The 17,774-nt window shown below is 38.5% G+C and overlaps 1 protein-coding gene across 27 annotated transcripts in view; it reads right to left on the reverse strand.

Moving 5' to 3' along the window:
• The window catches only part of RUNX1T1 (RUNX1 partner transcriptional co-repressor 1), a 148,419-nt gene that overhangs the window by 33,443 nt on the left and 97,202 nt on the right, over positions 1 to 17,774 (reverse strand). For 24 of the 27 annotated variants that reach the window (XR_007060758.1, XM_047422373.1, XM_024447318.2 and 21 more), the window contains 2 exons: positions 16,707 to 16,888; positions 3,230 to 3,480 (listed from right to left, as the gene is read on the reverse strand). Coding sequence is in view for 26 of the 27 variants with exons in the window: in XM_047422373.1 (XP_047278329.1) it covers positions 3,230 to 3,480; positions 16,707 to 16,888 (433 nt within the window). In the remaining variant the exon portion in view is untranslated. Of the gene's footprint in view, positions 1 to 3,229; positions 3,481 to 4,606; positions 5,326 to 6,077; positions 7,817 to 16,706; positions 16,889 to 17,774 lie in introns of those variants that run through there. The other 3 variants (XM_017013940.2, XM_017013941.2, XM_017013939.2) reach the window with 3 other exon arrangements.

Below are 17,774 nucleotides of genomic sequence, written 5' to 3' on the forward strand. Positions count from 1 at the left end.
ATTGGGAAAGAATAGTATTTAGCTACTGCTCTGTTGTGATTATTTCAAGTTGAAATGTTTGCAAATATGTAATTTTTGTTAACTTATTTGTTGCCTGGGTTTTAGAGAAAAACCACTACTGTTAAAATTAGTCACCATACAAAACAACCAGAAAGTGATAAGGATATAAATGTGACAGTGACTTTCATGTTAGAGGCATCTGAATATTTGCCTTTAAGGACAAGAATTCCAGAGGTCTCAAAAGCTTGAAAAATTCAGCAGAAGAAATCAATAATGACACAAGCTGTAATGCCTGGAGTAATATTAATGAGCAACAGGATATCTGTGGTGGTGGGATTTCAGCATTTGTGAAACAGTACTAAGCTTCATCTCATTTTTAAAAAAATATTAAGTGCATTAGAAACATGTTTGAGCTCAAGTACTTGGTGAAAAAATGTAAGATTCATTTGCCGCTTTTGAACTTTGAAAGTCATTTGTTAGATATAATCAAATCTTTAAAAATAAAAAATAAATCAAGATTTTATGTTTATTAATTTCTCTATTTAAGATACTTAAATATTCAGCAGCACACAATTTTTATTTATAGTCATAATACCAGAGGGATGTACCGGGGGAAATATCTCGTAATCATTAAATAGCTCATAATCACATTTTCATTTGTGGGAAATTTGACACTAATGTTGAGTCTCAACTGATTATTTTGTTTTAGAATATTTTAACTAACTAGGATAAAACTCTAAGCTTACTTATAAACTAATGCTGCTAAGAAGTTACTTTACTGAAGGATTCTCGTGAGTATATGTCCCTACACATAATAGGCATTTATAAATCGTACCAGACTAAGTATATCTTTATGACAATTTTTATATTCTCAAAATGGCAGCCTGATGTAACACCATAATTTGTTGCTCATACATCAAGATTTTATTTTACATTAACACACACTAAACTCTGCCAGACTTTAGGGATGGTTTAGTAGCTGCACATATTTATAGAGATTAGCACTATTGGTTTTATAAGCTAATATAATTAAAAGGTAAGGAACATGGTCTGAAGAAAATCACATAAAACCAATGGATACAGATATAATTCATAAAGGGATATTTTATATTACTTGATGAAAACATAATCATTGCACATAAGTGTAATTACTTCCTTGCTGATTACTGTATAGTGCACTGGAACTAATATTTCACAAAATAGCACCTGCTGCCTAAGAAACAGGCCATTTGCTAACACATCTACAAAATGGGATCCCTTGAACTGGTCTCACCGTGACCTGAAGACTCCACTGCTATTTAAAAACATGCAATCATGGTTTTCAGTCCTTAAGTCATAAATAAGTGGTAAGGCTTTGTGTAGAAGGGAGTTGTTATCACATTTGATTTTGGGGTTAAAATATCAATCCAGATCAAGAAATAGCATAACCACCTTTGAAAGCTCTTCAGAAATGGTACCTGCGAGAACATTAGACAGACTGGCTATTAAGAAAGCACAAATTATATGCATAGCCATTTGTCTGACACACTATATAAACGTAGAAATTACTGTTGTGGAGAACCAGAACTACTAATTTACTGTCTTACAACCAAAGCCTCAATCACCCCTCCTCTCACCCTGACTCTCTTTCTGCTTTCTAAACATTTGGGGAGTTGGGTGTAGAAAGGTAAAAAAGGCCCTACACGTGGAGCCCCTGTTTGCTAGCAATGTAGTTGGAAATTGAATGTAAACTTCTATATATTAGGCTCTCTCTGCCTGTGGCAAAAAAACAAAAAAACAAACAAAAAAACAACCACCATCACTGTAATCAAGTAGTGAATATCTGGCTGGCTGCATTCCCCAGAATTCTGTATCCTCAGCTCCACTTTCTGGTTTTCTACTTGCATTTCATCCCTTGCTCTTTCCAGTGTCCAGGTCACTAAGTCGCCCTCATCAGGAAAGTTTGCCAGCAATTAGTTACAAGGTAGAGATTAAGTCCTGTTAGTGGGTGATGTGGACACAGGAGATGGAAAAAGAAGAGGAGACTGACTATTGCTCTCAGTGAGACTCATCACTAATTAGGAATTGAAGACATCCCAGTAACAGTGTACTTACTGATAACCCTCTGATACACTATCATCTCCACCACTGAACCACTGATCATATGTTTAAAAACTTACCTTGTTCATCTTCTCTCTCATTTTTCATGGTAGACATTTGTTCTATAGAAGGCAATGTCTTCAAAATGCTTTACTACTTTTTTTTTTTTTTCTGAGACAGGGTCTTGCTCTGCCACCCAGGCTGAGGTGCAGTGTGTGGGGTGCAGTGGCATGATCTCATCTAACTGTAACCTCTGCTTCCTGGGCTCAAGCGATCCTCCTGCCTCAGCCCCACAGGTAGCTGGGGCTAGAGGCATGCACCACCATGCCCGGCTAATTTTTGTACTTTTAGTAGAGACGGGATTTTGCCATAATGCCCAGGCTGGTCTCAAACTTCTGAGCTCAAACTCATCTATCTGTGTCAGCCTCCCAAAGTGCTGGGATTATAGGTGTGAGCCACTGCACCCAGACAAAATGCTTTACTTCTAATAGTTTTATGCAAAGAAGGAATGAACACAGGGAAATAGAACACATATTTGCCCAAATTCACTTCTTCTTCAGTATTCTGATCCTTGACCCAAAACTGTCAATATTAACTTTAATCACTGGCATTTTCAAGTAAAAAAAAGTACCAAATCATTCCTTGGGAAACATCTGTTAAGCCACAGATAGCATGCCATATCACACTTTGGAAATATGGAATATCATGGAGGCTCAAAAAAATCAAAATAAACGTAGAGACTATCTGAAACAAAAGATACAACACAAGAAAATCAAGTGATTTTTAAAAATATTTGTGGCAGGCAGACTGCATATGAAGTCTCATGTTGAAAGAGAATTCAAGCTAAAAATTTATTTTGCATTTGTTACCAACACAACAATTGAGGGTCTTGTATTAATCTAGATGCCCTCCTCCAAAGAAATTTAGTGTACTGTCTTAAAGAATACAAGTGATTAGGAGAGAGAAAGTACAGCTGTTAAAAGTCTATTAATACCAATCAAGTTTTTTTCATAAAGGAGACAATATAAAGCAAGATATGAGAATCTTCATCCCTATCACAGATTTCAAGCCTCAAGTTAAGTTCAGAAATAATGGTGCAAGTCTTCAAGCACCCAATCCCGTAAGAAGTGAACAGGTCCTTCAGTCTTACCCATAGGTCTGTTTCTGTCCCTGAGGTCCCTGTGGCTGGGGTGTCGATAGGAGTCCCTGTAGTGGTGGGCAATGGCCATATCATCCAAACGGTAATGCTGAGGTGGAGGTGGGGTAGGGTGAGGCAGGCCATTGGGCTGGTAGGATAAGCCGTTATTTGGACTGTACCGCTGGCCTGGGCTAATAGTGCATGGTCGCTTGCTTGGATGTTCTGAGTGCAAAGGCTCTCTGTCAAAGCCATTTTCTTTGGTTCTAAAGGGGGAAAAAACAAGAGTTTGTTTCATCATCTATTCAGAAACCAGCACAGTTCAGTCACTCATATTTGAGCTTGGAATAAAAACAGAATATTTTTTATTGGCCAGAAACCTTCTAAACTCAGCTTCCCAGAAAACATACGGGAATTCACTGAGACCTGTGTCGAGACCTAAATGATCACAAGCCTGCAGACAGGAAAAAATCCTTCACTTCTCATCAAATTAGCAAATATCTTTTCAGTTGAAGCTCATGTGGTTAAGTCACAAACAAGAGGAAACTCAAGACTCCTGTAGATAACATTTTCATTCAAAAAACAGTGCTTGATTTCTAACAAGTTACCCTAAGACCGACTGTATTTGATGAAGATTCATCAAGGTAAAACATCACTACTCTCTTGATGAACACTTAAGGTACACCTATTCCACTTGGTATCTGACTTCTGTGTCAGAGAATATCTAAGAACTGTGTTGTCCAATACAGTAGCTACATGTGGTTGTTTAACTTAAAATGTAAGTTACTTAAAATTAAATAAAGCTTAAAATTCAGTTCTTCAGTATCACTAGCCACATTTCATGTGCTCAACAGGTACGCTTGGCCAGTGGCTTCAGTAGTGGACTGCACAGATACATAACATTTCCATCATCACAGAAAGTTCTATAGGAAAGTAAGGATCAAACTGAGCAAATACCGTATGCAATGCAATGTCTGGGACCCTGACATTATCTTGAGTCACCAAGGTAATCAATCAGCAGTCATACAGAGCTAGCCTGGCCTAGAAGGAAGATCTAGGTCAACCCCCTTATTTTAAAGTTGAGGAAACACATACCCAGAGAGCTAATGTATCCTGTCTGGGGTTATCAGGTCACATGGCAGGACGGGAACACCCTGACGACACACCATCAGGTGATGCACAGAACTCTAAACTTGGCTTTCAGAAGGAATGCATTCTATAAATAAGACCTGATAACTAGTCACGATTCCTTGATTCTCAAATAAAAGTAGGAGTAAAGCAGTAATTTCTGGCTGTATATATTTCTACTGCATAGAGACTAGCCCCTAATATATTCAATAAGATAGAAACAAACCATATTCAAATTTGACTAATCACTGCTCCCAAACTTACTTTTTACTTACAAGACCAGCACTCTTATCTTTAGACAGGTGGTAACATCTATTTTCCCAGGGACGTTTTCTCATAAGAATTCTACCAGTTCACAGTGGCTGCAGACATCTACATGCCTTCTTTATTTTAGATAGTAAAACAACAGCATAGAGGCACTTCTTCTACTTTCCCGGCATCTAGTGATGGCATCCAGTCTTTGTCTGCTAACACTAGAGCAATTCAGGTGGAAACTGAATCAACAACAGAGATAATCAGGGGCAACAGGATTCTACAATGAACCATCCTTTATGGCCCTTTAGGGTGGGCGCCCCAGTGACAATTCATACACACCAGGTTGAGAAGAATAAAGGACTTAGAGACAGAAGGTATAGGCATAGAAAGAACTGAGGGTAAATCTTCAGAGTTTTATGTTAAAGAACATGCCCACTACATACTAAGAAGGATGCACTATTATGGAGCGGGCAGGGGACCCTTAGGACTCAGCCGTGTGACCTCCAGTTACTTAACTTTCTGGCTTCAATATTCTGCTCAGTAAAATGGGACTGATAGGAAACAACATTTGTAAAAACAAATTAAGAGGCAATCTAATTTATACTTTACCCTATCTCAGGCTTTTTTCCCCCCAGCTCCTCAATAACAGAAGCTGTAAACTATTACAGAAAGAAAATAAATGTCCTTTAAAAACTCTACATGAGGCCAGGTGCAGTGACTCACACCTGTAATCCCAGCACTTTGCGAGGCCGAGGCGGGAGGATCACCTGAGGTCAGGAATTCGAGACTAGCCTGGCCAACACTGTGAAACCTCGCCTCTACTAAATATACAAAAAGTAGCCGGGTGTAGTGGTGCATGCCTGTAGTCTCAGTTGCTCGGGAGGCTGAGGCAGGAGAATCACTTGAACCCCAGAGGCGGAAGATGCAGTGAGCCGAGATTGTGCCACTGCACTACAGCCTGGGCAACAAACTCAAAACTCTTTCTTAAAACAACAACAACAACAACAAAAAAACTGAGGGTAAATCTGCAGAGCTTAATGTTGAAGAACATGCCCACTACATACTAAGAGGGATGCACTATTCTGAATAGACTGGCCAATATTGGAAATGATGGCAAAGCATGGCCCCCAAGGGAGTGGTGGCCAGGAGTCCTAATGCTGCTCCCTTCAAAGTATGTGTCTACACTAAAACATACTGACTCCTTACATATTGATCACTGATATCAGACTAAAATATCCAATGTAGCTCAGACATTACCTAATTGCATTGCTTTAAAATAATTTTTAAAAGTAAACTGAAACATTCTAGATACTGATTTATCATCTAAGAATATACCCATGTGATTCTAATCTGTATTTGCATATCCCACAAATTTCTAAAAAATACACTTCAATATTCAATGCATATTATCAGCATAAATCAGCTGGAAAATACTGAAGACTATTAGTGGCTATGAACGTAATGCTAACACAGCACCTACCTTACTGGCATTGTGGTGTAGTGGAAAGAGCACTGGACTGGGAATCAAGAGACCTGAGATCTAGTCCTGGCTCTTCCATGACTAGCTGTGTGACCTTGGTCAAGTCACTTAACCTCTCTGGACCTCAGTTTATTCATCTGTAAAATGAAAGGGTTGGACTAGATCAGTGGTTTTCAAACTGTGCCACCTGAGGTGCTGAAGGTAGGCAATGAAGAACTTTTCCCCAAAACAATCAAGATTCTCAAGATTTAAAGTGCCAGAGGAACCCACTTCTTATTATTTGTTTCAATCACTGGGGTTCCACCTAAGATTTCATTTTTAAAGGAAAAAGTCTGCGGCTAAAATCAAGTTTGAAAACCACTGGACTAGATGATTTCTGCAGTCCCTTCTAGTTTGCAAACTCTGCAATTCAAGTATTCTATATTTACAACTAAATGCCATAGTTATGCAGATCAAAACACACAGTGCTGATAGTCCTCTGGCCAAACCATAAGTATCTAAGGCAACCACCTTAGCCAAGTTCTCCATTCCTTGGTTTGAACAATTTATTATTTATACCTTATTTTTTGTGCAAAAATTAGAAAATATCCTCTTATCTTAGGGCAGCCCCTGCAGAATTTCTAAATAATGAAACATCTTTGACTGATTTGGGTCAAACCACCCCAACTTACTAGTTTTCTCTCTCCTTGATCAATGAAGGCAAAAACAACAACACTGGAGTAATTTTAATAATTCTTAAATGGTTAGATACACAATTTATCTTCATCCTTAGATAAACCCTTTGTTCAGTGCTATTACTTCAATGACCCAATTAAATGGGAGGTAAAAAGCATTTTTTTTCTAAAGCAAGGGCAGTAATGTCCTAAAAGGCAGGCTAGGGCCTGAGTCTGTTCTCTCACTTCAATCAGGTCTTACTGTCCTATCCTGGGGCCCATCACCCTGCTAGCTACTGAAATAATAAAAGCTCATCACCTCATAAGGATAGTTTACATTCTAACAGTTGTGAAACATTAACACTTGCAGGGGTGTAGTGACTAATACCTGTAGTCCTGGCACTTTGGAAGGCTCAGGAGGAAGGACTGTTTGAGCCCAGGAGTTTAAGACCAGCCTGGGCAACACAGTGAGACCCTGTCTCTACAAAAATCAAAAAGTTGGCTGGACATGGTGACATACACCCATAGTTCTAACTACTCCAGAAGCTGGGGCAGGAGGATCACTTGAGCCCAAGAGATTGAGGCTGCAGTGAGCCATGATCACACCACTGCACTCCAGCCTGAGCAACAGAGTGAGACCCTGTCTCAAAAAAAAGGGGAAAAAAAGAAAACACAAAAACTTTCACTGTCCACAAAAATAAAGCTATGAAGGATCTCTCTGGTGCTTCCTCAAATTACTAATGTCTACTTACAAGGCCAGTTCTATTCAAAGCATGTATGTTCAGAAGGGTAACTCAAACAATTAATTGCCATTTGTCTGTCTGCTTCTTAGAAATGCCTACAACTACCTATATCTCATTTGCTCGGTTGAACTCCATATTTGCATTCTTCATTGCCCTTTTCAGTGTATCAGGCAAAATTAGCGAAGACTTTTCATTGTCCCATACCAGTATACCCTTGAAATAACTCAAATTCTAGTAGAAATCTGAAGTGAGAGGTAACTGTATTATGTCTTAAGGATTTCTGAAAGTTTTATTTTATTTGTTTTTTATTTTTTTTATTTTTATTTTTACTTTTTTTGAGACAGAGTCTCGCTCTGTCGCCCAGCCTGGAGTGCAGTGGTGCAATCTTGGCTCACTGCAAGCTCCACCTCCTGGGTTCACACCATTCTCCTGCCTCAGCCTCCTGAGTAGCTGGGACTACAGGCGCCCGCCACCACGCCTGGCTAACTTTTTGTATTTTTAGTAGAGACGGGGTTTCACCCTGTTAGCCAGGATGGTCTCGATATCCTGACCTCGCGATCCGCCCGCCTCGGCCTCCCAAAGTGCTGGGATTACAGGCGTGAGCCACAGCGCCCGGCTTATTTGTTTTTTAAGTCTACCTGAGGATGTTATATCTCCTTACCAGGAGACATTTTCCTCAACACAATCTAACCACTTCAACATTTAGATCCCAATCACTTCTCTCTCGAGGTTTAATGTTCTAAGCTCAGGGGATCCTTAGGACTCAGCCGTGTGATCTCCAGTTACTTAACTTTCTGGCTTCAGTATTCTGCTCAGTGAAATGGGACTAACAAATTAAGAGACAACCTAATTTATACTTTACCCTATCTCAGGCTCTTTTTTTTTTTCCAGCTCCTCAATAACAGAAACTGTAAACTATTAGGAAAAGAAAATAAATGTCCTTTAAAAACTACATGAGGCTGGACGCAGTGGCTCATGCCTGTAATCTCAGCACTTTGGGAGGGTGAGGTAGGTGGATCACTTGAGGTCAGGAGCTTGAGACCAGCCTGGCCGACATGGTGAAACCCCGTCTCTACTAAGAAAAAAAAAAAAAAATTAGCCAGGCATGGTGGAGCATGCCTGTATTCCCAGCTACTCTGAAGGCTGAAGCAAAAAAATCACTTGAACCTGAGGCACAGAGGTTGCAACGAACCAAGATCGCGCCACTGCACTCCAGCCTAGGTGACAGAGCGAGACTCCATCTCAAGGAAAAAATAAAAATAAATAAAAACAAAAACTCTACATGAAATATTTTTAAGATGATGATTAGCTAGTGTGTGCTGGTAATCCCTTTAGTAACATTTATATAAAACAGTGTATAACATTCAAGGAAACGGGGAAGTATGAAAAAATCCATCATAAAATCATGACATAAGTAGAACAAGAGGACAAATCTACATGGCAGAAGCGGGTGTAAGTTTTTTTCTCTACATTAACATTTTTTTTAATGTGAGGAACTACCACTATAAATATTGTTTTAGGGGAAGGCAAATTGGTAGAGCACAATAAACCTAAGAAAGAAGAAACTTAATTTCTAATATTCATCCTGTCATTTATTTATTTAAATAAATTATGTGCCTTACACACTCACTTATCTGAGTTTCGACAGACATTTCACAAGTCCAAACTGGCCTCATTTCTCTTTTGCTTTCTGTACCATCTTCTACCTAGTCACCCGAGTAGAAACTTGAAGTCACTCTACAACTTTCTTTTCCAAATCCAAGTCCTATTGCTGATCTCAAGCATCTCTATACGGGTCCCTCCTTCTTGCCCCAGGATACCTTTATCTTGGCCCTTGTCACACCATGGTCCCACTTTGCCAGTATCCCCCAGAGCCACAGGCCCCCAGATTTGTTTGCTGTTTGTCTCCACAGCCCAGCCAAGTCCCATCCCTAGACTGTAGCTCCTTGAAAAATGAGTAAGAGTGAGACACTGGGTCTAAAATTCTTTTAAGACCAGGCATTGAAGACTTACTTTATTTTATTCTTATATTTTAGAAGTCTGGAGACTTACTTTATTTTATTCTTATATTTTAGAAGTCTGTATCTAAATCTTAGGAAGGTAGTTCTATTAAACGCAGACCAAAGACATTAATAACATCAAACACATCTTCCTTTCCTTTTCTAACACGTGCAGTTTGTTAAGATTGCCATAGAATGACTAGACATTGAATCAAGGGGGGGAAAATCACTCTCATCATCATTATTTTTAAAACATAATTCAGCAAAAGATCTCTTCAGGAATTGTTAGGAAAGAGGTGACTTTAGATATGAATTTCACGTAACACACTTTTATTGGTATTGAATAAGGTATTGAAACAAAATACATTACAAATTCCCCAGCGTCCTTAAAAAGAAAATCAAACCTAATTCTTCATGACAACCTGCAGTGGTTTCTCTGTTTTGCTATCACTCTAGAGGGAGGGGGACATTTAGATGATGAAGAACAGAGAGCTGAATGCCACAGGACCATCATTATTGGGCCAGGTGGAGAGAAGCACCTTTAATCTCTCCATTGCTAAACAACCACCTAGCAGTGAGAACTTTCTGAGCAGTGTGCTAATACCTTTAGAAGTAAGTAAGAGGCAGATGGATACGTGCCACTCCAGACACACAAACGTGATGCCCAGACCTTCAAGGATTGCAATATGCAGGTTGGGGGAGCCATCTGAGCCTTCCCTCCAGCAGCGAGAAGGTGGAATGCTTCCGTCACGTGTCTGAAGCTGACCATCTGCTCAACAGTTAGGCTGTTACTGGCTGTTTCCCTTGCCTTTTCTAATCTCTGCCACTGCTGAAGCATTCAATTTTTGCTGCTCCTGCTGTTTGGAACTCTGCTTTCTTATTCGAATCTGTCACCTGTATGTTTCTATTGGAGCCCTCCAGTTTTTTCTGGTCAGTGAACCAATCACAGCATTTGGTTCCTGGGCTGTCTGTGGCTGTTTTTATTGTATTTCAGAGATGCATTTTTTAACTAAACAAAAAAATAAAGATGCCTGGAAGAGAGACCATTTAATACACTACTAAAAATGACTGCATTAAGTTTAATTTGAATTATTTGTTCAATAGTGGTTTTTGTTCTGTTTGTAGTGTTTTGCTTTGTTTTAGGTCCCCAGTATGTGTAATGCACTATCCTGCACTTCAGTGGCAGTACAAAGATGAGAGAAACATGGTCCCTCAACCTTCCATAAGATTATTATTTAGGGCAGACTTTAATTCTTTACCATTAAAATGATTTAATTGGAGCTACAAGACTTCTATACTTTCATACAGGACATGTATACAGAAGGTACCATTAAAAACAGAACAAATGTGGTATGTGAGAGCAGAATGAGAGATTACTCCAGAATGTGTACTCATAAGGACAGAGGTTTTGGAGTCACATAGAGATGGCTTCAAATTGTGGCTCTGCTATTTGCTGGCCATATAAACTCAAGAGGCTTAATCCTCTAAGAGCCTCAGTGTTTCTGCCTGCAAAATGGGAAATGATTATCTCAAAGCTATGGAGAGAACTATAGGAAAGAATCTAAGAAAAGAACCTAACATGAATTTGGCATTCAATAAGTTAATCAAAGCATTTTGTTTTCAAGCAGGGGCATTCAGAGGCTGATGATACAGAATCACGGCTATGAGAGCATGGGCATTTGAGTCTGAGAACCCAGGGTTAGAATCCCATTAGGGCTTCTGACAAGCCATGTGACTTCACACACATTATTTGGCCTTCTGGAATCTATGTCATAGGATAGTGAGGAAAGAAGTGCTATATGTTAGTCTGTCAATTATTTAGCACAGGGCCCAGCATATCTGAAGTGTTCAGTAAATAGTAACCATTATTATATTATTTATAATTGGGAAGCTTTCATTCAAATAGTAGATACTGAGTTAGGCCATGAGGTATTAATAGAATTATGGCATATAAGAATTAGGAAAGACAGCAGAAACCATCAGCTGGAATAGAGACTAAGGCGTGAGGAGTATGCAGTAAAGTTAGACCCTAACAAAGCAGCAAGAAATCAGGCTAACAAGTTAAAGTTGAAGCTGGAATGTGGAGAGAACAAAATGCCCCGTACAACTGTGTTATCTTTAACATATAAATGTAATTTTGTGGCTCGGTACAGTGGCTCATGCCTGTAATCCCAGCACTTTGGGAGGCCGAGATGGGTGGATCACCTGAGGTCAGGAGTTTGAGACCGGCCTGGCCAATATGGTGAAACCCCGTCTCTGGTAAAAATACAAAAAATTAGCCGGGCATGGTGGCAGGCATCTGATACCTCTCTACTTGGGAGGCTGAGACAGGAGAATTGCTTGAACCCAGGAGGTGGAGGTTGCAGTGAGCCCAGATCAGTCACTCCAGCCTGGGCAACAAGGGTGAAACTTCATCTCAAAAAAAATAAATAAATAAAAATAAATAAATGTAATTTTGTGCTATTTCACTGAAAGGCCTCCCAATTGATGTGATTAATATTTTTAAAAATCACTCCTTGCAACTGTGGAATACATAATAGATGCAACACAAACTAGAATAAATAAATGTGTCATAAAATCCCTACATTTTTTTCATAGAAAACCGAATGCAGGTTATACAAATTTAATTCTTATTTGCACAACTGACCCTACAATTCCTTGTAAAGTGTATCTATTTTTTCTTTTAGAAAGATAAAAATAGTGAAATCTCTTTCATTTTACAGAAACAAAAAAATGGACCTATTCAGTTTAGTTGGTGTGTACTGTCATAACAAATCTCACAAATACAACCAACATGATTTTAAAATGATTGCCTTTGATCCTCCAACCTTCAGCATTTTCTAACTGACTCATTAAGCCAGGAACACAGGCTAGCTGTGGCTCTTCTGTCGTTAAAAATATATATAAAACCTCAGAATGTTATACTATGGCATCTACCCACTTGAGCAACTATAGAAAATAAATGAGGGAAAGTAAGGTGAAAAAAGAGAAGCTTAAGTCTTAGTTGAGTTTCCTTATTTAAATTCTGCACATTAAAACATATTTTATGCAACTGGAAGATTTCAAGTATGCAAATATGCTTGTTTCTCCACTAAGAAGCTTTGCAACATTAGGCAATTTATTTGGGCCTTAGTTTGTGCAAGAATAAAAAGATGGGGGCCAGCTGGGTGTGGTGGTGCATACCTGTAGTCCTAGCTACTCAGGAGCCTGAGGCAGCAGGTTCACATGGGCCCAGGAGTTTAAGACCAGCCTGGGCAACATAGCGAGACACTGTCTTAAAAAAAAAAATACAGATAACATCCCATGAGCAAATCCATAAATTTAAAATATGTGTGATTTTTTTGTTTTGGTATGAAATGTAAAAAGGCAGGGTGTGGTGGCTCATGCCTATAATCTCAACACTTTGGGAGGCCAAGGTGGGAGGATCACATGAGCCCAGGAGTTTGAGACCAGCTTGGGCAACATTGCAGACCATGCCTAAGGAAAAAAAACATAAAAAGAATGGGGCCTGGTGTATCTATAAGATCCCTCCCAGCTGACAAATTACATAACTCTGAAGTTCAACCAATTATTTTTAGAGAATAATGTTTAACCCTTGGGGGAGGAGGAAATACATATTAATCCAACTACATGGCCTTTGCATTGAAAGTTTAGAAGCGTTAAACTGAGAGTAATGTAAAGCATAATTACATTAAAATAATGGCATATAAGAAGGGGATTCATACTTAACATCCATCATTTGAGATAGTAGGGGGTACAAAATGGGAAACAAAACAACCATGTTACCCACACAAAAGCAAAGATTATTTGGTTTGATTTCTTAAGCAAGAAAAATCCTAAACCAGAAAAGTAGCATAACAGGTGAGAACACAATACTGAAGGCAAATTAGATCGAAAAGCTGTGATATCAAAGCTCTGAGAAAAGAAAGACAGCAATGATAATCATCCTAACACAATTATTTTCTTTAAATCTTAATAATTTTAATCCATTCTGCAGTCTCAAAGAAAGAAAGCATTATCTAACAGTTCTTTTCCCTCTTCCTACACAAAAGTGCTTGTGTCTTTACGAGTCACCACGGTGAGCAGTTTTAAAGAGGGCTCTTAGCTTCTACTCTCTATCTGTAAGAGTGTTCATTTCGTTTACATGGCTCCAAAACAAACGATCACATTCCTTTCTTCAGCATCTCCCACCACAGAATGGTAAAAGAATAAATGTTTACTATAAATGACGTTTACATATTAACAAAGAATAGAAATCAGAATTTTCTACTTACTTTCCCTAATATTTTAGGAAAGAAATAACATAATTTTATAATAAAAATTATCTTTTTCTACTTTGGGTTCTACAATATTCTCTCACAGACCTACAAAATCAGTAACACTTGTTCAGAGACACTCCCCAGAGCTACATTTAAAAGAAAGTAGAAAACATTTCACTGTTCCATACAGGAACAAAAAACAAAAAACAAAAAACAATTTCATAGACTTCCCTAGAGTACTCATTTCTCTGTAAATAACAATAATGTTTAAAGAAAAAAAACATAACCAGTGACAATCATATTTAAGGACAAGAAGAAAGTTAAATTTGCCAAAACCCATCCCTGAAACACATGATGACTGTTTAGTACATTAACTCAGCAATCGTCACAGAATTTAAGCTCCCAAAGTTGTAAACAAAATATAGAGCGCTCTTTTGTTCATGACATGTCATGAACAAATTACCAAAATGTGTTTTCTCCTCAGGTGTCAGTTTTTCCCTCTTTTAGTGACTGATGGCTCCCAGTGTTATTACAGAAACAGATTGATCTTTTTAATGAGCCAGTTTAATAGACTCCAAAATCTCACCGTGGCTGCTCATCCATGTCAGACCATATGCACCAACAAAACATTCAGTAAAACAAAAAAAGCTCTGCTGTCAGACAGCTCCATACTCTATAAAATTTCATATAGTAGATCTGGATATACAGATAAATAACCAGAGAAGAGGAAAATGCATATGCAAACAAGATGCAGAAAATATATGCAAAAAGAAAAAATACTGTAGAGGCCCATATTTTCTTGGCTCTGATCAAATTCCCACAAGATACAAATGTATTTACACAACATATTCTCATTACCCTTCCTCCTAACTCTAAGGAAACCCATTTGCCATCTTTGAGATATAATGTATATTTCAGTGCCCCATTTGATAAAGAATGTTCCATCCAAAGATTAACCATGTGAACTCTGACTCTGGCAACCATCCATGAAAAACCAAAGGGAAAATCAGACCAAAGACTCTTTTTAGGAGAGTTCTACCTGACTGAATGCATACACTGATGCATGCACAGCGACAGAGCATCAAAACAAGAATGCTGAGCCTCTGTGGAATTTAAGATGAAGTTTTCATATCAGTGTTAACATACTGCCCAGCACTTACCTTAAGACTGTGCAAGGATAGTCAAAAGTCACAATACATTCAAATATGAAATACTGGGAAAGAGCTGGTGGGAAAATAGCTGGAAATACAGAGAAATGAATGAAACAGATTTTCATATTCCCTGTTATGGTTATTTAGCAGTTCAGAATGCCAGAGTAAGTTGTGTCCATTTTCAATTTTGCCTGCAGGATCATCTCTACATTTATCTTAGCTATCTAAATCTTTCCCTGTTACACTCTCCTCCACCCCAACAACCCTAAATAAATTTCCTTCTTCCAATTTTCCATCGAGTCTCTCCTTCATTCTTTTACCATGGAGCTAAAACATCTCAGTATCTGTATGTCATACTCATTTTCTGCAGGGTAAATCAGTTCAGGTCAAACAGGAATGCACATGTAAATCACCTATTGTTGAGCCACCTCTTGGTTTTCAGCATCATGTGGACATGCCACTCAGGCATCAGGATTAAGCAGTTCCCTTTAAAAGCTAAAGCACTAAGTGCTCTATTTTACTCTTAAATGTGACCAACAAAATATGATTTGCAAGAATAAGAAAGTAGCTCTGTTTGTAGGTCATATATGAAGGTAGGCCTACAATACGTCAAAAGGGGACTAATATTTAACTGTTTGCTTTAGGAATTTTAAACTATTAAGAGGTTCTATGTCAAGGGGAACAAAATTACAGAGATTGTAGCATAAAAACTGCTTAACAGAGGATTATGTAATAACAGTATGTAAACTGGCTGGCTTTTAAATAACATTCTGATTTGCAAAGCAGCTAATACATTTAAGGATAGCTAAGTCAGTCACAAATAGATGTCTCTGAGCAGCTCCAAAGATCTTAAGCTCCTATGAATGTGGAACATAACTGTGTCAGGGTGTTAACCTCTCAAAGGCTGTTATACCCATGCCTGATGAAATGCAGCAAAAGAGAACAGATAAGCAGAGAAAGAAAGCAAAGTATATGCTAAATAAGTTTTTGAATATAGTTTCATTGTAAAATTCTCCATATTTCAAAAACACTATGCAAAATGATGCTAATAAGACTTTGCATTCCTATATCAGAAGATAATTATAGATGAGGATGAGGTATTCATAAAAATTATTTTACTACGGTAAATGGGAAATTTCATGTGTATGCTTTATTCAACAATTACTCTGTAGGGTTTAATGGAGAAGTGGTTTTATTTTACATTTCTTAGAATTCTTAGTTATGAGAGCACAGTATCTGATAGAACAGTATCTAACAAGTAAAATTTTCAGCAAAAATACCATCTATTGTCTCTACTGTATAACTCTTATCTTCACTCAGTTCATCTAGTGTCCCAGAAGTTTTCTCTTAGTTCATATACAAACCAAAACAAATAACTACTGTACTGTGTTAAGAAATACATACAGACAAGCTTCCAAACCATCACATTTTAAGGAAACTAGGAACAGCCAATTTCAGAATATTGAAGTAAAATATGTGGTTGGGTTAAATTACATAATGAATGAGAATTTTAATATTGATGTGCATCTAAGAGCCATCAGTGGTACTTGGCAAATCAGAAAAATCATTCGTCTTCACCATTTCGCTTTAATACTACAAGCAGAAAAGATTAACCTACACAAAAGCCAAACTGTCCCAGGCCAGAGATTCAAAACTCTGTAAAATCCCAGGCCAGAGCCAGATTCTCAAGATGGCCACAATGGCTTATTGCTATTGTGCAAGAATGACATAGGCCAGCGGTTTAATTGTGACATGAAATGTTTCCTCATGCCACAGGTATGGGAAAAAGGTCATGGTTCATCCAGGCTCCTCCTCCCTCTCACCTGTCTGGAGTTCGCCTCTTCCCGTTTTCGTTCACATCGAGAAGCAGCTCTGAGGAGTCAACAGGTGAGGTGGTGCTGGCATCCAGAAGCAGCTGTTCATGCTGGGCGAGGTACTGGGCAGGGTTCTGTTTGGCCAGTCTTGCGCAGTGGAGGAGCTCACGCTGCAGCAGGGGCAAGTTGGCCTGCAAGGGAATGACAGGAATGAGAGGACGGACTGAAAGTTTTCTTCTGTCCTGTTGACTTACTCTGCTTTTCGAACACTGGAGAAGAGTATGCAATGCAGCTACATCAAAGGTCAAATGCATGCCATGGGCTGGAACCACAGGCACAATTCTCAGCACTGGGCTACCATGTGCGCAGATTGCCCTAAGTGTGAGGTGACTGACCCTTGTACATCACTTTACCTCTCTTTTATTTCTTCACTGATAACATTGCAAGTGGCACATTATTTTTAGGGTCCCTTTATACTTGAATGTATGTTCTACGGTATGTGAGAACCTAGCTCCAATCATAAGAACTTTTGTTCTCCACAGGGAAGATAGAGGGTATAAAAAATATATACACAGTCCAATTAATTTCAGAATAGTTTCCCTGACACACTCAATTTTGTATCTGGTGACTCACAAAGGTCAAGCAGGCTAATCCCAGAAAATATCTTTTGTCAAGTACTAACTTAATGAAAATACACTTAAAAATATAGACATGAACATAGAGATTATTTTCCATAGTCATCAAGTTCAGACAATAGTTAAGTAATGGCCTGGGTACAGTCACATATCCCAGATGGAATTAATGCATAAAGCAGTATATTCTAGTAGTCTACAAAAGTAAACTGCCTTCTTTGTATCAGTCTTATTCTAAGGAATGAATACACACACACACACACACACACACACACATATTTCTTCTAATGTTAGAAGAAATCCTGTATACTGGTCACTCTTCCTCCTCAGCTAGGTCAGCACCTTGAATAAAGAACGGGCTGGTTGATAGGCTGATCGGTAATTCTGGCAATTTCAAATGTAATAAGAGAGAAAGAGGCAATTTCACACATAGTAAAGGCATTAA

This window comes from Homo sapiens, chromosome 8 (genome assembly GCF_000001405.40).
Source record: "Homo sapiens chromosome 8, GRCh38.p14 Primary Assembly".
NCBI lineage: Eukaryota > Metazoa > Chordata > Mammalia > Primates > Hominidae > Homo > Homo sapiens.